A 22,674-nucleotide genomic window follows, 5' to 3' on the forward strand; every position below is an offset into this window, starting at 1 on the left:
CTTAAATAACAACTCCTACATCCCTGTAAGCCTTTGGCTGATTCTCAATTCTGAAAAAAACTGACTGTGACAATTTTTGCTAGTTTTCTGGTTGCTTTTATGGAAGAAAGAATTTTCAGAGGTTCTTACTCTGACATTTTTGCTAATCCAGTGCATTGTGGTTTTAATTTATATTTTCCTAATGACTAATAATGTTGAGCATCTTTCCATGTGCTTGTTTTCTATTTGTATATCTTATTTGATGAAGTATTTGCTCAAATCTTTTGCCTATTTTTAAAACCAAGTTATTTCTTTTTATTATTGAGTTCTGAGTTATTTATATATTCTGAATTTAAGTCCTTTATCAGATATATGTTTTACATATAATTTCTCCCAGTCTGTGGCTTGCCTTTTTATTTTATTTACAGTAATGTTTCCTAAAAAGATAACTAGTAAGGTATTTTGCATATCATATAATTCAATATTTTCAAGTATACAATTTTTAATATATAAAATGACTTCTTAGTACATTTACTAAGTTGTACAACCATTACTATGAATCAGCCTTAGAACATTTCCATCATTCATGTCTATTGTTAATCTCTGTTTCTTCTTGCACCTGCCCCAGGCAACCACTCATCTATTTTCTGTTTTTCTAGTTTGCCTTTTTGAATATTTAATATACATGAAATTATACAATATGTGGTCACTTGTGTCTGGCTTCTTTCACAGAGCTGAATGTTTCTGAGGCTCACTCATGTCACGGCATGTATTTGTAGTGCATTCCTCTTCATTGCAGAACAATATTCTATTGTAGGGATATACACTAACAGTGCCTTGAAGAGCAAATGTTTTAGCTCTTTGCCAAGAGAAATAAAAGCATATATCTGCACAAATTCTTGTACTCAAATTGTTCATAGTAACTTCATTCATAACAGCCTAAAACTGTATGCAACACAAATTTCTTCCCATCAACTAAAGGATAAACAAGTTATAGTATATATGTATGTTGAAAGACTATTCAGCAATAGAAAGGAACCACTGATATACATAACATGAAAAAAATCTTAAAAGCATTAAGCTTAATGAAAGAAGTCGAACACAAAAGACCATAATCTATATGATTTCACTTAAAGGAAATATTAGAAAATACAAAATTATAGTGACAGAAAATAGATTAGTGATTGCTGGTGGCTAGTGGGTAGCGAGGGTATTAACTGAAAGCATTACAAGAGAATTTTTTAGCTGACAGAAATCTGTATCATAATCGTGGTGATGCTTGCAAGACTGTATACATTTGTCAAAATGCATCAAATTTTGGATGAACTTTATTGTATGTAAATCAAACCTCAATAAAGCAGATATTTTTAAAATAATGAGATTTCCTTATTCTTCCTTCAGTTCTGACAAAGGTACTATCTTCTGCCAGTCCAGTCAATTCTAGGACTTACTTAAGAAGAATTTTTGTGTTGAATTAAATGCTGACAATTTTAGTTATGAATGATCATTTAGTTCTTAAATTCATTTTTATATCGATGGAAGTTGAATAAAAACTCTCCTAAGATAATCTGATTAAATGTATGTCAGTCCAACTTCCAGATGAATTAAGTTCTCTTGAAAATGGCCCCTAAATTTCAGAGACATATAAAAATAAGTGAGTTATGCCCCAGATGTACACAGAGCAATGTGGAGAGATCATAAAACATAGTGCTAAATTTTAAAAAAGAAGAAAGAAAAGGTCTTAGTGCAATACCATTTGTGTCAACAAGTGATACCTGTACATGAAGCACATGTTTTACTGGGTCATACAAATAAAGGATCACCAAATACACAGAACACGACAGAGAGGGGAATGGGAGTAGTGCATGGGGAAAAAAAGGAATTAATGAAAAAGTCATCCATCACTCAAGATTGCTCTTATATAGACATATATATAGAGAGAGAGACAGAGAGACACACACAGAGAGAGAGAGCATATATGTATGTGTGTGTGTGTGTGTGTGTGTGTGTGTGTATGTATATATATATATAGAGAGAAAAATACATATATATATGACAGGGTTTTGGATAAATAATTGAATTAGTTCATTTATCCAACCTAGTAGCTGGAAAATTTTAGTGGAGAAAACATCCATTTTTTTTCTCTATTAGAACAACACAAACTGGAAATAGTTTCATAGGGTAGTGTTTTCAATATATCTGCTCAGTGCTATCTCCTCAAGTGCTAGAAATGAAGAAATTAGGAGGGGAAAGCAAAATAGAATTAAACCAAAGATTTATACAGTAAGGAAACAAAACTAATCTCAAAGCCAAATGAAGCATAACATTCTTCTCTAGAGGGTCATGTGAGAAATAGCATATGGGTAAGTATACACATAGATAAATATACACATTCATAGCATCCTTGCTGATATGAGGAATAAATACCTGTTAAAATCATTAATTTAAACAAGAAAGAGAACTACAGTCCTCTTTGTTAACTTCAAGGACAGACTTAATGATTTTTGTTTTACTGGATACCTATCTCTTACACACACACACACACACACACACACACACACACACACACACACTTTTTTTTTTTTTTTTGAGATGGAGTCTCACTCTGTCGCCAGGCTGGAGTGCAGTGGCGTGATCTCGGCTCACTGCAACTTCTGCCTCCTGGGTTCAAGCGATTCTCCTGCCTCAGCCTCACGAAGAGCTGGGACTACAGGCATGTGCCAACACACCCAGTTAATTTTTTTGTATTTTTAGTACAGACGGGGTTTCACTATGTTGGCCAGGATGGTCTCGATCGCCTGATCTCGTGATCTGCCTGCCTCAGCCTCCCAAAGTGCTGGAATTACAGGCATGAGCCACCGCGCCCGGCCAAAAAATAACATTGTTAACAGAACAGAGTATAGATATAAATGTAGTTGTCTAATTGAGTGCTATCCTTCCCTTTCAAATAAATCTAGGAAATCAATCACCTAATAAAGTGTAGATGAATATAAAGTCACTTAATTAAAAATCTATTTTGAAGAAGGAGAGAAGAAAGAAGCACAATAAATAGTTGATAAATTGAACTGAAGAGATAAGGGAAATTGTAAGTCTTAGCCCTAGAAAGAAACTTAGAGATTAGCTTGCCAGCTAGCTTGCCTAAATTTTCATTTTATTGATATGGAATAGAAAAAAAAAGTCTGAGAGGAAGAAAAAAGAATGAACATCTGCTCCCATGTAAATGGTTCAAAGTTAGGTTAATTACCAGGGAATGAGTCCCTTAGGTTTGCTACTATTGCAGAACTGAGCCTTCAGACAAACCCATTCAGACACCCAGACGGCCCCCCCTTTGTCTAGCACCCCATCAGTTACCTGGGAACCAAAAGCCTAGACATCCCATATCTCCCTTTATTTTTAATATTTTAATGGAATAAAAGGAATGTATCCCTAGGCAGATATTAGGCATGTTACATTTAAATACTTCTCCTAAATAGATACACTAGCCTATTGGCATAAGATTGATTCCCAGTTCCTAAGGATTCAGAGGCTCTGTGAGCAGAGCTTTCCAGAGGTTTTGCTTTGTTGTGTTTTTTGTTTTTATGTGTGAACAAAATATTGCGAGCAAAGTAGATCTCAGATGAAAAAGTCTAATGTGCATATTTTAAGACTATTTCCATTTGGGACAGTTAGTAACAATACTTCTTCAATTTATGTAAGTCGCTACAGATAGGTTACTCCAGCTACCCTACCCTTCTTTAAAGAACGATGGACATACTGCCCCATCATGACCTTATGTTGCTGGGGTGGAGAATCTACTCGTGTATAATTAAGTAACAACAATAATAAAAATGTGTCCTTCTGATTTTACCACCTGCACCCCTGCCTTGGACTCTTCTGGGACCATGATTTACTCTGAGACAATGTGTTTATTCCATGAGTGTTGACATTTGAGCAGGTTAGGTTTCTTTTAAATCACACTTCAGACACATAAAAGAATGCACAGAAGATAAACTAATTAGAAACTAGTAGTCTGGACAAAATAAAAATCAAAACATTAGCCACACACACACACAAAAACAAAAAACAAAACATAAGACACAAACTATAACTTTCAAGGAAAGAAAATCTTAAATACAAAGTAAATGTCAGTTACTTTCAAATTATCTGCTTCTTTGTTTCTCATCTGTCTGTCTCTCTCTTCTTGATTTTCTAGGAAGAAACATTAATTTCTGATCTTAAATAGTTCTTGGCTAGTACTAAAGGACAATAATGAACCAGCCAAATCACAACTCTTGGTCACTTCATAGAATGAGAAGATGTACATAAATGCAGTCTAGAACAAAAGAAGGAAGCTTTGTTGTGTTAAATATATCAGGATATGCTGAAACATAGGGTTATATTTACATGAATTTTTAAAATAGTTCAGACATTTTTATGTTTGCTGTTATCTCTTTAAGCTTGCTTTCTGTATTCCCAAGAGACATTTGTGTACTCTCTTCTGCCATCAGGAGTCTTTCGCTGTGAAAGTCTAAGAATTACTGAAACAGTCAGAAAATAAAAAACCAACAACCCTAAACCTGAGCTCATGGGTTCGAGTCCCAGATCCATCCCCTTACATGTTAACTGTGTGACCTTGGCCAGGTCATTTACCTCTCATTTCCACACCTGCAGACTGAGACCACACCATTTGTGATTTTATGTAGCTCTTAAACTATAAACTCCTATTCAAATATAAGGTATAAGTGATATTTTATTTATGATATAAGTGGTTCAATCTCCCACTAATGATATAGAAGCCCTGGAAAAAAACATAAACTTATACTTCAAAAAGTATGACCTCTCTCCCTGTTAAATTTTCCTTCCTTCTATGGCATTAAAAGAGATATGGCATTAGTGAAGCAACACATAGTTTTCTGCAGCGTCACAATGGAAAAGGCTGAGAGTGAGTTATTGGGAGCTGAAGTTATAAGGAGATAGAATAGAGAATATAGACTATACTTAATCCCTTGAGAAGAAGCAACAATGGTCCTAGGAATTAAGAGAGGGTTGGATTCCTTCCTGATTGTTGTTGGAGAGGCCAAGACAGGGACGTAACAAGCTGGTCCTCCACAGCTGTGCTTCTTTGGCAACCTAAAGATGTTTCTGGCTCACAGTCCTGGCCAAACTGTGAAAAATGGAGCTGTCCACCAAAAAGTAGGAAATCTGCAATGGAAATAAGTAATGGACCTGGATGCCAAATTCAAAGATCACCGGATACAATGCAAAAACACCTAGTATTTCAGGATAGTAATTCTTCTACTTTATTTATGCATTCTTGACATATCCAAATACGTGAGTAAAAAGTAGAATTAACTGTCAGAAAAGAAGTACATTTTCAAATGCTCTCAGCCAGGGTTTAGTGGTTTCCAGGGGCTTTCTTTTCCTCCCAATAGGAATAGCACGCTGTTGGCCCCAGTGAAGTTGTTGTTTGTACAAAAACTTTTTCAAGAGTTCATGAAACAGAGTTGGTCAAACTAGCTCTCAAGATAAGGACCCTGCAAATGTTTATAAACATATGATCTGCATTACAGTTAGTCTTGGACAAAATGATCTCTATCAGATTTTGTCTCAAGTTTTTCCAACTCTTGACATTTGAATATTCTCTTTGCTCCAAATAAATTAATGTGCTAATAACAGCTTTTTGAAATAGAGTCAACAACAGAGATTATAGATGAACATTTATCTACTGTTATCATAACACTAGTACAATTTTAATAAAAAGGCTGGAAATAATATCCATTTAAATTAAATCAAGAAAAAAATAAGTTTACTTTTTCTGAGAAAGCAAACTGATAGTTTTTCTCTTTGATTTCCTTGCACTTTAGAACGAAGGGCAGCTATTAAACCTTTAAATAAACCTTTAAAATAAGCTATACTATATAGCAATATTTGGTTTAGACTTTAATGAGCCATTTTTGTTATTTTATAGGCACTTGAGGATGCTAATGCTTCCTGAGTCATAGACTCTTCTAGCACAGCCTTTCTGGGAATGCACATGCATTGTCAGACACCGTGGAAGAGTAGATGAACTGGGTTCCCGTATTGTCATTGATACCAATAAGCTCTGTGGTCCGCAACCTCTCTTGATCTTGATTTTCTTCGTTATAAAACTAAAGCACTCAGTGGGATCCATGTTTCTAATTTTTTGTTGTTCAGCCTTTAAATAACATTTGGAGCGCATCTGATTACATTAACTCATCCCCAGAATCTGTGGCCCATTAGTGGCAACCTCTGAACAACAGATTCTTTAAGGATCTCACTAAGCCTAAGACTGTATTATTCTAGTGTTAGAGCAAAGAGGGGGAATGGGAAGGAAAGACACAAGTACTACTTACTTTTCAAATACACGTCTGATAATCAGCAAGAGAAAAGCATATGGAATTGTCACGTATAAATGAGAAGGTTTTACAAAGACGAGTCCATCGTGATCCTCAAGATCTGACCACTTTATTGTTGGAGGAAGCCAGAATCTTTCCAACCAGAACCATTCTTTAAACGTCCAAAACATTCTAGAGAAATGGAAACAGACATTAGGCTTGTAAAACAAACACGTAACTTTAGGATAACATTGATCACCTTGGCTCAAAATGCCAGATCCAGAGAGCTTAGAAAATAAGGCAAGAGGCCTAGCGCAGTGGCTCACACCTGCAATATCAGCACTTTGGGAGACCAAGGCGGGCGGATCATGAGGTCAAGAGATCAAGTCCATCCTGGCCAACATGGTGAAATCCCATCTCTACTAAAAATACAAAAATTGGTCAGGTGTGGTGGTGCACACCTGTAGTCCCAGCAACTTGGGAGGCTGTGGCAGGAGAATAGCTTGATCCCAGGAGGCGGAGTTTGCAGTGAGCCAAGATCACGCCACTGTACTCCAGCCTGGCGACAGAGCAAGACTCCACCTCAAAAAAAGAAAAAAAAAAAAAAAAAAAGAAAGAAAGAAAGAAAGAAAATAAGGCAAGAATGGAATACTATTATTTAATGGATTATATGATCCTTCATTGCATTAAACAGGAATTACTCTTCCATACCCTCAGGACAATTTTGTTTATGGAAAAACTCAAGTTTAACACATCACTATTCACACTTTTGGCAAAACATATGTGAATATTATGCACGTGTATTTTCTTTGTGTATGATTCTATGGTATAAAAAAATAACAATAGGCTTTACAACTTTAACATGCCAAAAGTCAATGTCCTGAAGGCTCCAGGTAGGTACAAATCATCACTAGTACCCTAAAAAATTCCCCAGGAAATAAGGGGCAGGCACGTTTCACTTCATATTACAAGGAGATCAAATTAGTCTATGTAAAGGAATATTTATTAAGATTCTGTTATTTGTGAAGAGCCGTGCTGAGCACTGAGGATAAAACAATTAATAAGACAGGCTTCCTGCCTTGAGGACATAATAGTCTCGTAAGCAAGGCAGGCCTGAACTCATGACTTCAACACATTTTTTTTTTTAGGTATGCTAAAAAACGTATACAGGTTGCTGTGGGAACAAGATGATGGGCACTGAGCCCAACCAGGAAATATCAGGGAAAGGTAACTGGAAGAAAAAGTCCTTGAGATATCTTGAACAATAAGTGGACATAAGCCAGGAAAGGCAGGAAAATGGGGAAGAAGGAATACAAGTTCTAAGCAGACAAAGTATTCAGACTACAATCAAGTAACCAGAGCATAGAATAATGTAAATTAGATGTTTTAATATCATTGTTTAGGCTGTGATCATTTTGGACTTGGGATTTTGACTTGAGGATGCATGAATTTCATCTTTTAATGTTTAATCAGAAAAAGGAATCAAAATGTCCTCAGATTCACAACAAGGTTGTCAAAATCACTCTGTCAAAACCTCTTAATCGGGAAATAACAAGGCGCACATAGAAAACTACCAGTGGGTTGGTACTACCACAGTGAATGAATCCAAGGTGTGGAATGGTAGGTTACAAATAAGTGCCCAGGCACTGCAGTGGATTGCCCTGGCATAATCAGTAACAGCTCTTCCTTCCTTTCAGAAGTATTCTGAAAGGAATACTTTGGACAATAAATCATATGATCACCCTCATTAAAATGCTGGTGGGACAAGCAGGCTAGGCCTTAGAGCGTTTGCTTGCATTCCATGCTAAGGAGTTTGGCATTTAGCTGATAGGACCCACTGAAGGGTATTATGAAGAGGAATGAGATGGTCAGCTATTTTAGAAAGGTCAATTTGGTAGCCAGCTCCTCTGTGAGCCCATAGGGTGTCTTTGTGCTGATTAGAGGAAGGTATTCTCTCTAGGCAGACACAGCTCTACCAAGCCCAAAATGATCAGTGGAATGAGGACTGGATTTCAAGCCCCCTCCCCACTTTGCTTCACCCGGGCACATGCCTGGCAGCTCTTCTGGCAGTGGTGTGAAGCATGCCTCAGGAGATGGAGAAACTAGAGGACAATCAGCTCACAGCAATAGATGCAGTCAGCAGAGAGAAGGTTTGGCCAGAGCAGTGGGGACCAGAGGGAATAACGCCATCTGTGGGATGCAAATCGGGTAGAGGATAAAGTGAGCCCCAGAGAGAAGTGAGATTGATGGGGAAGAAAGAAAACTCAAGGGAGTGAAGGTCAAAGACATGTGTGTTGGGAGTGAGGCCCGAGGGTAATGGGAAGACTAGATCAGAGGGTAGGATACAAGAGGGGAATACTGAAGTGACAGATTTCTGACTTCAGATGAGAAAGAATTCCACAGTGTGGACCCCAATGTCCTTCAGAAAGATCCACACCAAAACCAAGAATTGAACCCTGGTGAGATAATTCCGTACCTCATCTCACTTCTTACCCACCATTCGGAGAAGTGCTAACCCAGTCGCCTCCACACCTGCAAGGCTGTGCCCCTGGAGAAAGGCTGCCTTTTCCTTGGACTATTCTTTTTTTTTTTTTTTTTTTTTGAGATGGAGTTTCGCTCCTGTTGCCCAGGCTGGAGTGCAATGGCGTGATCTCGGCTCACTGAAACCTCTGCCTTCTGGGTTCAAGCAATTCTCCTGCCTCAGCCTCCCAAGTAGCTGGGATTACAGACATATGCCACCATGGCCAGCTAATTTCGTATTTTTAGTAGAGACAGGGTTTCTCCATGTTGGTCAGTCTGGTCTTGAACTCCCAACCTCAGGTGATCCGCCCGCCTCAGCCTCCCAAAGTGCTGGGATGACAGGCATAAGCACTGCGCCCAGCCTCAATGGACTATTCTTTTATTAGAATTTCTACCCTGAGAGGGAGGAGTGAATCCTATTTATACCATTGCGAAGTTGTGTAAATATGGTGGAACAAAGATAATCAACAAAGACTTAGTGATACTTCCTCTTGATTAGGCTTCGGGGACACAGAAAGGACAGGGGTGAAGGGGTGACCACGGACTGCAGACTTGATCTGGGTACAAAGGTGCAGTAAGAGCTGTTGACAGAGCTGTTAGGAAGGAAGAATTGATCAACTTTCATGGTTAGTTTGGTAAAATAAGTGAGGACTCAAGCTTGGTTGCCTGAACCATCTGACATAACTGACCAAAAGGGGAATTTAGAGAAATCTATTTTGAAGTACTTGCCCAGAACATCTCAGAACAAGAGCATACACAAGCCTTTGAGTCAAACTCCAGCAAAAGTTCAAACTTCCTACAGACTTGAGAAACCAGTCGAGGCCACAGAGGCTCTCTGTAATGGACAAAGCTTGTGCCAGGTCTGTGTTCCTCAACTGCATCACAACTAGATACTCCTGCAAGGGCAAAGATATTTTTTTCCTAGAAGTTTGCCTCAGCATGTTCCTTACTTTATTGGTTCCAAATTTAATAGATAAGGACTCAGGGAACACATAGCAATGACACTGAGTTAGGTTTCCCCCCCAATATTATTATAATCACTGTTATACAAAATAGCTTGCTCACCTGTAAAACACAACTCAAGGCAGTACAGATTATTTTGTATCATGTGAAATATAACGAATCAAATAGTTTATCATGGTTATGTAGGGGTTACCACTCTAAACAATTCCTTGTGCATTACATGTAAGCAATGGATTAAGATCTGTTGAAAGCCATAGAAACTTTAATACTCAACAGCCAAAAATTTTAGGGAAGATGGAAAGAACTCAAGAGTTGAGGATGACCTCTTGGAAAATGTAGTCCAAACTGAGAAAGACAATAAATCTACATTCTTCACTCTTTCTTCATGTACTGCCACCAAACATCAATTATTGCAGCTTCAGAAGTATTAAGAACCCATTCTTCACATCATACTCAAAAATGAAAACAAAGCACAGATCTAAATATAATGGCTAAAATTGTAAAACTCTTAGAAGAAAATATAGGAGTAAATCTTTGTGACCTCGAGTTAGGCAAAGCCTTGTTATATATCAAAAGCACAAGCAGGCTGGGTGTGATGGCTCACACCTATACATCCAGGACCCTGGGATGCTGGGGTGGGCGGATCGCCTGAGCCCAGGAATTCAAGACCAGCTTGGACAACATAGTGAGATCCCATCTCTACAAAAAATACAAGAATTAGCTAGGCATGGGGCATGGTGGCATGCGCCTGTAATCTCAGTTACTCAGGATACTGAGGTGGGAGGATTGCTTGAGCCCAGAGGCAGAGGTTTCAGTGAGCCAAAATGGGGCCACTGCACTCCAGCCTGAGTGACAGAATTTGGTAGCCAGCTCCTCTGTGAGCCTATGGGGTGTCTTTGTGAGCCATCGGGTCTGAGAGACCCTGTTTCAAAACAAACAAACAAACAAACAATCAACAACCAAAAAGCACAAACAACAAAAGAAAGAATAGACAAATGGATACCATCAATGATGACCCACAGAATGGAAAAAAATACTTGAAGGTCATATATCTGAGAAGGGACTTGTGGTTAGAATATGTAAAGGACACTGACAACTCAATGAAAAAAAATGACGAATAATCCAGTTTAAAAATGAGCAAAGGATCTGAATAGACATTTTATCAAAGACAATATAGAAATGGCCAATAAGCACATGAAAAGATGCTCTGCCTCAGCCATGAGAGAAATGGAAGTCACACCCATACCCAGAGAGGCCCTTCACACCCATAGCTGCCATCCAACAGATCACAAGTGCTGACGGGGTGTGAAGAAATCGGGACCCCCCCGCCGCCCCACACACACACACACCAGACATTGTTGATGGGAATGTGACAAGGTGCCACTGCCATGGAAAACAGGCTGTTGGTTTCTCAAATGGTTAAATACACAGTTCCCATAAGACTTTGTAATTCTACTCCTAGGCATGTACTGAAGAAAATAGAAAAGATTCATGCTCAGTATGGATGACTCTTGAAAAGATGATGCTAAGTGGCCAGACACAGAAGGCCACATATTGTATGATTCCATTTACGTGAAATGTCCAGAGATATAAATTAGGTTAGTAGCTCCTCAGTGAGGTAAAGCAGAAGTGGGGACAGACGAGGGAAAATGAGAAATGGCTTCTGATGGGTACAGGGTTTCTTTTTAAGGTGGTGAAAATGTTTAACATTTGAATGTGGTGTTGGTTGCACAATTCTGTAAATATACTAAAAAATATTGCATTTTGCACACGTTAAATGGGTGAATTGCATGGTATGTAAATTATACCTCCAAAAAAATAAAAAAGTTAAGAAGCCTCCTTCTCAGCTTCATCAACTTTTAACCTTTACACCTTTTAATCTATGGCTTATCCTGAATTTCATGCTGCAGCTGCCTGTTCTTCATTTATGGTGCTTAAGTTTTACCTCCCAAATTCTCCTGAGTCAAGCTTGCATCCACGAACCCCGAAAAATAAATAAAAGAAATAAAGACTATAACCAGGTTCAGAGTTCAGCATGACTTTAAATTTTATGACTTTATGGAAGAAAAAAACAGTATGCTTTAAAAAGCAAAATTGAACTCTCCTGAAGAAGTGTCTCTCCCAGATGATGGCCCCTTGAAGATAAGGGTGGTCATAGACTCCATAAGCCAATATTTCAGCTCTAGGCATGGGCTTTAATGGTCCAGGCTACCCCTCCAGCCAGCCTCATCTTTTCTCAAGATGAGATCAGAGGCTAAACACACAAAGGAAGTGAAGACTGTGACAGTCACTCTTCTCTAATCCTCTCTGCTACTTCAGACTGTTAGCAACAAACAAGTGACATTCTCATGGCCTCACCATGGCTGCTCTCAGGCCACAGCCTGTGATAATCCACAGCCAGAACCTCTGGGATCTTTCAGAGTCACATTTACCTGATCCTAGTGTACTGGACATGTCATTTTGGACATGCCACCAGCTCAGCATCCAGCCCACATAGTAGTCAGTGAAAATTGCCACCAGGTGTGAAGTTGGTACGATGCCTTTCCCATTGTGAATGCCAAAGGGGGCCATTCTCCATCTGCTGGCATTGGCCTGACCTTAGATCTGGTCATTCAGATGCTTTTGTTGGGATTGAATCTGGAGCAGACAATGCTATCCAGCAGCAGCAGCAGATGGCATCCTGCCGAGGCAGCGGCGGCCGTGACTGCTGCTGAGGAAAAGATAGTCGCGGTCTCTCAGCTTCTTGGCTTTCCTGATTGCCTTGGTTTCCACTGTCATCCAAGTCTAGTCCATCAGCCTTCCTTCAATGATGTGAGTTGCCTCCAATGAAGTATTTTATTTAAGGTACTAAGAAAGAGGTAGATTCTATTGCCTACAACCAAGAACCCCAACTTATACATCCAGCATCTTCCACACCCTCCTTTAGAGAAACTGATGACTCCAATTTGGTTGTCTGAACCGTAAGTGTAGCAGAGGTACCTGTTTTTAGGATTTATAACTGAGAAGTACACAGCCTGCAGCATTTGTCAGTTTCTCCCCGTTTAGCCTCTGACCTCATCTTGCTGACAGTGGGCACTCATTTGCTCATTTGTCTCTTTTTCTTCTTTCTCTCCCATTTTTGCCCCTGTTCTTCCTGTTGGAAATGTGATAATGACACTCTTAGTTACTGCTTAAGGTGGTTTTTTTCCGTGTAAAGGAGGCTGCTGGCTTCCCTGAATAGCCTTAAAAAGATGCTTGGTAGATGAAAAAAAACATATCACCTATACTGTCAGTAGAACAATACTTTTGTGCTGGGTTAACTGTGTAAGCATCGCAATACTTCAACAATACTCAGATGGAAAGGACAGTTACAAAACATCGAGATGGAGAGATACCTGTGTTTTTAAAACCCCACATGTCACTGCTGTGAAAAATTCTTGAGCCTTCACAGCAATGATTCTGTCCTTTAAGGACCTTGATTTTGACTCACTCACTTTTCGGTCAGTCTCAGGAGCCCACTGATGCCCACATTAAGTTCTTAGTTCATGTCCCATCTTTAGTCATTTGACCCAATTCTAGCAATTTCTGGCAATTTAAAAATAAACTCTGTTAACAGCTCCTCAGTATCTCTGCTTGGAATTCTCTTGGAAGCAAATGTACTTATTTACCCCCGGGTCATTCTCAGTTCCTTTTTCTCTCTTCAGCTACTCAAGGCCCCTTTTTCTCATCCTGTGTGCATTCTCTAAGTTCTGCAATTTTTACTCATGTAAAAATATCAGAAGAAATTGTGATTTTATTTACATAAAAAAATCTGAGGCTATTTTTTAAAATATGAAATATTTGCAAGAAAAATGCCTGCGTTTATTTCTTTGTACTTTGGGGGAAGCAATAGTAACGGATGAGGCATCTCAGCCCCAGCTGTGTTTTTTGCTAATACTATGGAATTCTTAAGCCCTATTTTTGACTTCAGCTGCCAAAAGTTTCCAAGAAGACAATGTAGCTAATGTAGGGGGTTCACGGTCATTCTTTTCTAACCTCGTGGGTATAGAACCCAATGTGTAAATGAAGCCTGTTGAGCTACTTCCTCAGATGGACGCCATTCCATTCGAACTTAGGATGGAAGGAATAAAACCAGTTGGGCCACAAGTTTATCACTATTTGAAGCAACATTTTTGTAAAGTATTAAAAAATATGACAGTCTAACTTTTGCTGATGTAAGAACTCCAATCCAAGCTGAGGCTTTGGACAACATCTGGTAATTATTCATCCAATTCATACTGTAAATTCCATACCAGTTTAGAAGATATTGCTACAGAACATATCTCTCAGATAGAGGAGAGCAACAAGAAACTATCTCTACAGAACAGAAGGTTTCTCTCAGACAGACAGCAGGAACAAGAAATGGCAAGGTGGGCAAACAAGTCAAACTGAAGTAAAGGTATTTTTCTGACTGACAAAGTGCAAGGATGCGCTTGAGTTCACATTCGCGATCTCTGAACATTATTATGGTTGGAGGATATGAGTTGGCAAGAGCTTTTGAAGGTCAGGTGACCAGCTAGGTTATAGGTGACCGGCATTCTCTGGTGAAGGGAAAGTCAGCTCTGTAACAAAAGGACCTTCTCTGTCTTGCTCGCTATTGCCTACTCAGAGCTGGCCACACAGTAGACACCAAATGAATATTTATTGAATGAATGGATGTAAAGCTTACTGGGGCTAGAATGCATTTTTGAACACTCAAAGAGTGATGCTTCAGCCAATAATAAAATCTGATTTAATTATCTAAAAACAACTTCATTTTTATTAGTTGTCAAACAATTCTTAAAATTTGGTTAAAGGGTCGGGTAAACATGTTTATCTACATTAGTCTGTTTGTGCTTTCTTTGGAACCAGCTCTACAAACCCAGCCAAAAAAAAAAAAATAGTATGTCTTTAAGATAAAACACAAAGGAAAACATTAGCAGCTACGCACCTCCTGTGCACAGTGTTAAGACCAAGCCCATGGTAAATTCCAATTCTAAATGCATTTAAAATTGTACCATTTCACATGAAGAAGACAATGCAAATGATAGAACAACTTAACCTTGAAGGATATTTACTGTTTCTAAGTTAGTGCATTAACAAAACTATGAATGCCTTAGGCTATAACTGTAAAAAAACTGAAGAGAGAGAAAAAAAAGAAAAATATCCTATACTGTAATGAAGAGGAGCAATTAACTTACTACAAGACAAAAAATAATTTTAAGGAATTCTCCTATACAAAATTTAACAATTATATTAATTTAAAGCCTGGAAGAAATTCATAATAGAGTTTCAAAAAAAAAGAAAAATTCAGAATATTTGTGACAAAAATATGGTATCACTTCAAAGATGTCATTAAGTGATATCAGGATGCTCCCAAGTATCCATTTATTCTTTTTAGTTACACACCCCCAGCCTCCACCCCAGTTACACCTGGTATGTGGCTGCCCGCTCCATGAGGCAGCATTCTCCAGCCTCCCCAGATGTGGCATGTGTGACTATGCCTGGGTCAATGACATAGGGGTGGAATTGATTTGCATAATCTCCCTAAAGACCAAGCTGCATGTCCTGGTTTCTCTCTGCCTTCCTGATAGCTGGAGATGTGGCTGACAGGACAGGAGCGATTTTTAAAGCCAATTAACTCATTAGCCCTGGGCCATTCATGTCTGTACTGTTACATGCAAGAGAAATGAATTTCTATCTTAGTCATTGAATTTTGAGTTCTATTTGTTACAACAGGTGAGACTGTGACTCTAATAATACAGAGAAAATAATGGAAAAGATAAGTAAACAAGAGCTATGGTTTGTATTATTTCCAGGTAGACTGTAAAACATGGAGACTTCTGCTCATCAAAAGATACCATTAAGGTCGGGCACGGTAACTCACGCCTCTAATCCCAGCACTTTGGGAGGCTGAGTTGAGTGGATCATCTGAGGTCAGGAGTTTGAGGACCAGGCTGACCAACATGGTGAAACTGCATCTCCACTAAAAATACAAAAATTACCCGGGCGTGGTGGAAGGTGCCTGTAATCCCAGCTACTTGGGAGGCTGAGGCAGGAGAATTTCTTGAACCCTGGAGGCGGAGGTTGTAGTGAGCCAAGATTACACCAATGCACTCCAGGCTGCGTGACAGAGCAAGACTCCATCTCAAAGAACAAAAAAAGAAACATTAAGAGAATAAAAAAGCCACACTACAGACTGGGAGAAAATATCTGCAACACAAAGAACTTTTATCTAGAATATATAAAGAACTTCTATAACTCAATTTAAAAAAATAATCCAGGGACTTTTTCCATCATAAGTCCATTGGGAGCCTGGGTTTCCATTAACAGTCTGTTACATGCCCTAGAGAGGAGCATCATAAGTCCATTGGGAGCCTGGGTTTCCATTAACAGTCTGTTACATGCCCTGGAGAGGAGCATCGTAAGTCCATTGGGAGCCTGGGCTTCCATTAATGCTCTGTTACATGCCCTAGAGAGGAGCATCGTAAGTCCATTGGGAGCCTGGGTTTCCATTAATGTTCTGTTACATGCCCTGGAGAGGAGCATCGTAAGTCCACTGGGAGCCTGATTTCCATTAATGTTCTGTTACATGCCCTGGAGAGGAGCATCGTAAGTCCACTGGGAGCCTGGTTTCCATTAATGTTCTGTTACATGCCCTGGAGAGGAGCATCATAAGTCCACTGGGAGCCTGGGCTTCCATTAATGTTCTGTTACATGCCCTAGAGAGGAGCATCATAAGTCCATTGGGAGCCTGGGCTTCCATTAATGTTCTGTTACATGCCCTAGAGAGGAGCATCGTAAGTCCACTGGGAGCCTGGGCTTCCATTAATGTTCTGTTACATGCCCTGGAGAGGAGCATCGTAAGTCCATTGGGAGCCTGGGTTTCCATTAATGCTCTGTTACATGCCCTAGAGAGGAGCATCGTAAGTCCACTGGGAGCCTGGGTTTCCATTAATGCTCTGTTACATGCCCTGGAGAGGAGCATCATGAGTCTTTGCTCTTCTTACAGGGCTTCTTTCTTGAAGCTTGGGCCAGTTGTCAAGTTAATGCCTCTCAACTCCAAATTCATCCTTTTTGCCTGCTTGGGGAAAATGGATCCAATCCCTTTACATATTTTCCCTTTGCCAGCTGGTCAGGAAGCTTTGTCAGAAGAGGGTCATGTAGCAACATGGTGGGAGGAAAGGGTTTTGCTTTTGAGATCTGGGGCACACAGTGAAGGGCTCCAGCAACCCCCAGCTGCCAGCAGATTTCAGCACCTCCCTTGGGGGTGTTGTGGCAGCGTGCCTCCAGGGAGATACCTGCTAATGAGCAGCTCTCCCAGAACCCTACAGGGCAGATTTATGGCAAGTTCCAGAGGGCTGGTTTCCAGCAAGTTCCGCTGGTACCATAAAGACTCCTTTCAAGAGGGTCTGCATGTCAGCCTGTGGGGAGCCTCTTCCTTGGGTGCTCAATATCCCAGAGGTGTGACTGCTTCTTATACCTGCTAGTCCTATATTCGTCAGAGTTGTTACTAGCCAATCTCCCATTACTCTAATCCTGACTGGATGCAGTGTGCCTTGATGGAAAAGTCCAACCATCTTTATGTGCTTTACTCTAATACTAGATATCAAAGGCTGAGGGTATTCTGAGCAAGTCAAAAAAGGCCTCGGAAGTCCAAATGAGAAGGGAGAGCCCCCTCATTTTCCCTCCTAACACTGTTGGTAGAGTTTGCTTTACTTTATTGTGCTTATAAATTAGGTGATGACTTGAGGTTTCAGGAAGATGTGATTCTGCCCTTTTGCTCCCACTGATTCCAAAATTTAATGTCTCCATGAGCCAGCTGTCACTTTCCACTAGGGCAATACTTTCTCACTGTTACTAAACATAATTGGGATATTTTCCTAGCAAAACTAATAAACCTCAAAAATGCCAATTAGACATTTGGCATCTGAAAGGGTCAAGTTCCCTTTCGAGCCAGAGCTCTCCCCTCATGGTCTTCCCTTCAAGATGTGTTTCTCTTGGCTCTGTAATAAAACTCCACAATATACTGTGATCTAGGTTGCCATCTATCAGCCCCTTCCTAACCTAAATCTTGACCCAATGAATTAATTCTTAGAAATGCTCCAGGCGGCTACTGCTGTCTCCTGTTGTATGCAGAAGAAACTCCACTTGGGGAAGGTTGTGTCAGAGGCTTTTTCTCCAAAATGAGTCCACCTCTGTCTGGAGGCAGCTCCCTGTCTTCCCTCTCCCTGCACTCTCCTGTAACTGAGATGCTTGCAGGAGGGCCCGGGGCGGTTGGACCCCTGCCTACTTTTCCAGTTCTTCTGTGCCCCTCTTCCCCTCAGTCTGTGATACTGCAACTGTGAGGGGTCTGCTTTCTAATCTTTGAAAGCAAAAGGCAAAGTTCTTGTTTTCTTTTCTTTTTTTTTTTTTTTGAGATAAGATCTTGCTCTGTCACCCAGGCTGGAGTTTAGTGGCATGATCATGGCTCACTGAAGCCTTGACTTTCTGGGTTCAAGCAATCCTCCCACCTCAGCCTCCTAAGTAGCTGGGACCACAGGCATGCACTACCACACCCAGCTAGTTTTTCATTTTTAGTAGTGATGAGGTCTTACTATATTGCCCAGGCTGGTCTCAAACTCCTGGGCTCAAGCAATCCTTCCACCTCAGCTTTCCAAAGTGCTGGAATTACTGTCAAAGTTCTTTTTTTAGCCTTGTGGCATGTGCATAGGCCATTCCTTCTGCCTAGAATGCTCTGCTCACCCCTTCACCTCAAGTCTCCATTTAAGCATCTATAAGATCCTCATCTAGTCTTTCCAGAGCCCCAGATCCCCCAAGGTTCCATAACCTGGCATACAGTAAGTGTACAAATAGTAAGTGCTCAATACATATACCACAGCGGTCAAGCACATGGACTTTGGAGCCAGGCTCCTCAGGTCTAAAGCCTAGTTTTGACACTTAACTAGCCATGTGCCCATGGACAACTAGCATGACCTCAGTTTCCCCATCTACAAGATGGAGTTGATCATTGTACCTCCCTGCAGGGTTGTTAGAATGAGTAAGTGGGTAAATGCTTGTAAATCGCTTTATTTCATGTCTGTTAAATGATAAATTGGAGTCAAACTATTAAATACCATGAAATTGCCCTTCTAAGGAAGGGAACTAAATAAACTTCCAGGTCCTAAAATTCTTTAATTGACACTTATTAAGTTAGAAGAAGTTATTTAAAAATAATATTCAGTGCTAACTACGATATAGTAAAACTACTACATGCATCTGTTACTGATGGCAACACAAATGATACTATCCTTTTGGAAACTAGATAATAAATTTTAGGAGTCACTAAAATGTTCAAGTGTACCTGGGAATATACATAAAACATAAAACTGGACACAATTTTTGAAAGCTACAGTTAATAAATAACACTTCAATGTTAGTAATATTAGTTTTTTAAAGACCAGAATGTTTAAGCACATTTGAAATATTAACTCCAGATAATAATATCCAGCTAATGTTAGAAATTATAAAATTTATCAACATGAGAAATCCTAATGACATATTAAAAAGTAAAATCCAAATTCAAAGTTACATCATACTATGATTATATGATAAATATGATCTCATTATATGATACTATTTTATACATATCACATGTATGTGTGTGGGTATAAAAAAACTAGAAAGAAACATAAAAAATAATTGATATACTAACATGATAAGTTCTGGGTGGCTTAAACTTTTAAAATATTGTTATCACTGATTCAACATTAGGAAAACTTATCACTCTTTTCTTATTTGATTATTCAAATCAGTGAAAGCAAATTTTATTCTAAAAATCATGCAACATCTAGCCCAGCGCTATAGATATGAAGAAACTGAGTCCCAGGGAAATAAAATTGCTGTATCTGAGTAAACCCAGGAAAGCCAGTGTTTTTCCAATACACACCTAGCTTCCCCTGTCTAAATGGTAATTTGTTTCACATTAATATTTTTAAGAGGCTAATTTTTATAGTAAATGTTTCATATACAAAAGCTAATGGCTTGACACAGATAATATGTGGATTAAACTGATTTGAAGTAAGGCAAGTTTGTTACCTACATAAAAACTTATCACAGCCATTTTACTCACACAAACAGCTAACTATTGGAATCTTTTGGATTTTAACAATTTCAGAGAAAATACAAAGTGTACTCCCTTAGTCAGTAGGAAGACAGGCTCTTGAAATCTACCTGTAAAATGACTTTACAGTGTGGAGGTAATAAAGACACAATAGCACATGGCTTTCCAGGAGGCAGTGCTCACCAAAATGGAATTCTCCCAAGGCCCCTTCACCTTAATCCGCTTGGGCTTATCTTGGCCTGATCATTACCTTGACAGAGATTGCCAAAGGCCCACTCAGGACCCAGGGAGGTAAGTGAGGCAGGAAGTTGACTTAGAATAGTAATGTGGATAGAAATTTGCAGAAAAACAGGTATGACTGAAGTCAGAGGGGTGTAAAGCAAAGTCACAGAACAGATAGGTCTTAGAAGAATGTAAATCTTAGGGTTCAAAAAAAGGGGTCCAAGGTGATGGGGAGGAACACTATGAGATTGATAGTTCTGTTTTCAAAGGCAGAACTCCCCTCCCCACCTTTTGGTTGTTCACTTTAGGAATGTAAAATGTAAGCTGGTGGCTGGGTAAGTAGGCAATGGTGTTGCAAAACTGAGAAATGTTAATCCAAGGAGCATCTGTCAGCATTTCCTTTCCAATTGCTGATAAACATCTTGCTCCTCTTCACTGGCCATCTTCGCGAACTCTCCTCCCTCGCCTGGTGAGTCACACATCATTTCTCACAAATTACCCTGTTATTAGTGTCGGGCACAAGTGACTGGTCCAGGGCAGAGCAAAGGAGTTGGGAACCTGCTGCCAGTAAGTCACAAAGGGCCTAAGGTTAGTCACCTGGTTCTGTCTCAGTTTTCCCATTTGAGAGACTAAAGGATTGCCTTAGTGTCTGCAAAGACCTCCTGTGTGCCACTCAAGGGTGCTGCACTGGCTTCCCATCAACTCATCCGGTTAGAAAGGGGTGGGTAAGGCCATTATACAGATTGCAAGCTGGCAATTGATGGACACAATAAAAATAACAAACCAAAATGAGTGAATGCAGCACTTCATATACCACAAGCAGCTGTAAGTCTTGCCTAAAAACTTTCGAGAGAACAGTGGCTCTGCAGTCAGGAAACCCAGTTTAAGGGCCAGTCCTGTCACTTAATAGCTGAGTGATCTCAGGCAACTCAATATCTCTGAATCTTTGTTTACTGGCCTGTTAAATGGGGTTAATTCCACCTACCACAAAGACCTGTCGTGGGACTAAGGGAGATTAGGTATACAGACATACTTGAACACTGTAATGTGCTGGGTAAGCGTTATACAGTAACCTCATCTTATTATCGTCACCTACTGGGTACAGGAAAGAATCAGATGTCAGGCTGGTTTAAACAATAAAATTAAATACTAAGTTAAAAGATTCCCCAGAGAGAGAAATGGGAGAACCTCCTGTGGCTTCATAGCCTCCTCCCCCATTGTGTTCTCATCTCTCTCACTACTGGATATAGATAACTGGTTTCACAGCTGTCTTTCAGTAAGGAAAGCCCACATAATGGGTACCAACTGTGCTAAGTAAAATACCCAGGGACAGGTCCTGGAGAGGCTGTGTTGCAATGTCAGGTGGTTCCAAGCTTTCCAAAGATGGGCCTCACCTGGGAGAATGCCCAGATCTCCCTCCCAACCTCAGCAAACAAGAGTAGGATTTCCAGGACAAGACATGTGAGAACCCAGGACCTAGCGACCTGCTAATAAAAGGAGTTTGGGAATCTGAATGCCACTTTCACCACTTTCCAACTACATGGCTTAGGGTAAGCGATGTTTTCTAAGCCCTGAATTCCTCACAGAGCCTGAAAGCTTAGAACTGTGGCTCTGGAGTCAGGAAGCCCAGTTTGAAGGTCAGTCCTGTCACTGAATAGCTAACGGATCTAGGACAAGTCAGTCTGTAAAAATAGACACAACATTTTATGTTTATTTTGTAAGTTCTAGATCAGGATTAAATAAAGTACATCATGTGTCTCAGTTACCTAATGTAATGCCTGGCACATGGCAAGTGCCCTATATACTGTTGGCATTGACACTGCAGTCACTATTTACATTTCCTCATTGATGGCACTGTGCCTCCAAGTGGTACGATGGCCAGCCAGCAGTCCCTCATTTCCTACAATACCCTGATCAGGGTTTAGGTCACTCTGACCAAGTGTTGGTGGGGGAGTGGCTTTTCTGAGGGATAGTGTCTTTTGCGGGGTGATTTCCTCAGTGACAGCAGGATTTCTTACCTCATGAAACTTGCTTGGGCAGTGCCACCAAAGGAATCATTTTATGAAAAAGAGTAGGACCTTGATCAAGAAGGAATTTGGAACATCTCTCTGTTGCCCACAGATAAAGAGGAAGCTGGGTCACTTTTAGGAAAGGATTTGGGGTTACTAAGGTACACTGATGAAGCAAGCTCCAAATTTTAATATTTTAAAATGTGTTTCTTATGTAATGTTTGCAGGCAGGGTTTCCTGTTGTACAGCCTACAGCCCCCGCAAGATAAAGCACCCCTTGGAAAAGAACAAGATGACAAAGATCCTAGTTCTTGGAGGAGGGTGGGGTGCAGTGGGTGTGAGCGTTTACAGGAGAGGCAGGGAAATGGTGCAGGAGTGCAGAAAAACATCCCCAAATATAGTCTCAACTGCTTTCTTCTCAGACTCCGAAATCACAAGAAAAGTTAGAGCAATATCTCTGGCCAAGGGCCAATGGCATTGGGCTGGGGGATTAGGCACCTGTTGGAATAGTTACTGTTTTCTACCTTGAGCAAATGGGGATGGGTCA

The 22,674-nt window shown here is 40.0% G+C and overlaps 1 protein-coding gene across 9 annotated transcripts in view, besides 1 other annotated feature; it reads right to left on the reverse strand.

Annotated features, from left to right (window-relative positions):
• The window catches only part of CERS3 (ceramide synthase 3), a 144,289-nt gene that overhangs the window by 94,950 nt on the left and 26,665 nt on the right, over positions 1-22,674 (reverse strand). For 5 of the 9 annotated variants that reach the window (NM_178842.5, NM_001290343.2, NM_001290342.2 and 2 more), the window contains one exon: positions 6,333-6,506. In NM_178842.5, the coding sequence (NP_849164.2) occupies positions 6,333-6,505 (173 nt within the window). In that variant the 5' untranslated portion in view covers position 6,506. Of the gene's footprint in view, positions 1-6,332; positions 6,507-8,365; positions 8,505-22,674 lie in introns of all 9 variants that reach the window. The other 4 variants (XM_011521357.3, NM_001290341.2, XM_011521355.3 and 1 more) reach the window with 1 other exon arrangement.
• Positions 18,026-18,226: a silencer, noted in NCBI's record as "peak2453 fragment used in MPRA reporter construct". NCBI's record gives its function as "represses an SCP1 promoter by STARR-seq MPRAs in K562 erythroleukemia cells {active_cell/tissue: K562}" and the evidence as "EXISTENCE:reporter gene assay evidence [ECO:0000049][PMID:32103011]".

Source organism: Homo sapiens, chromosome 15, assembly GCF_000001405.40.
Source record: "Homo sapiens chromosome 15, GRCh38.p14 Primary Assembly".
Lineage (NCBI taxonomy): Eukaryota > Metazoa > Chordata > Mammalia > Primates > Hominidae > Homo > Homo sapiens.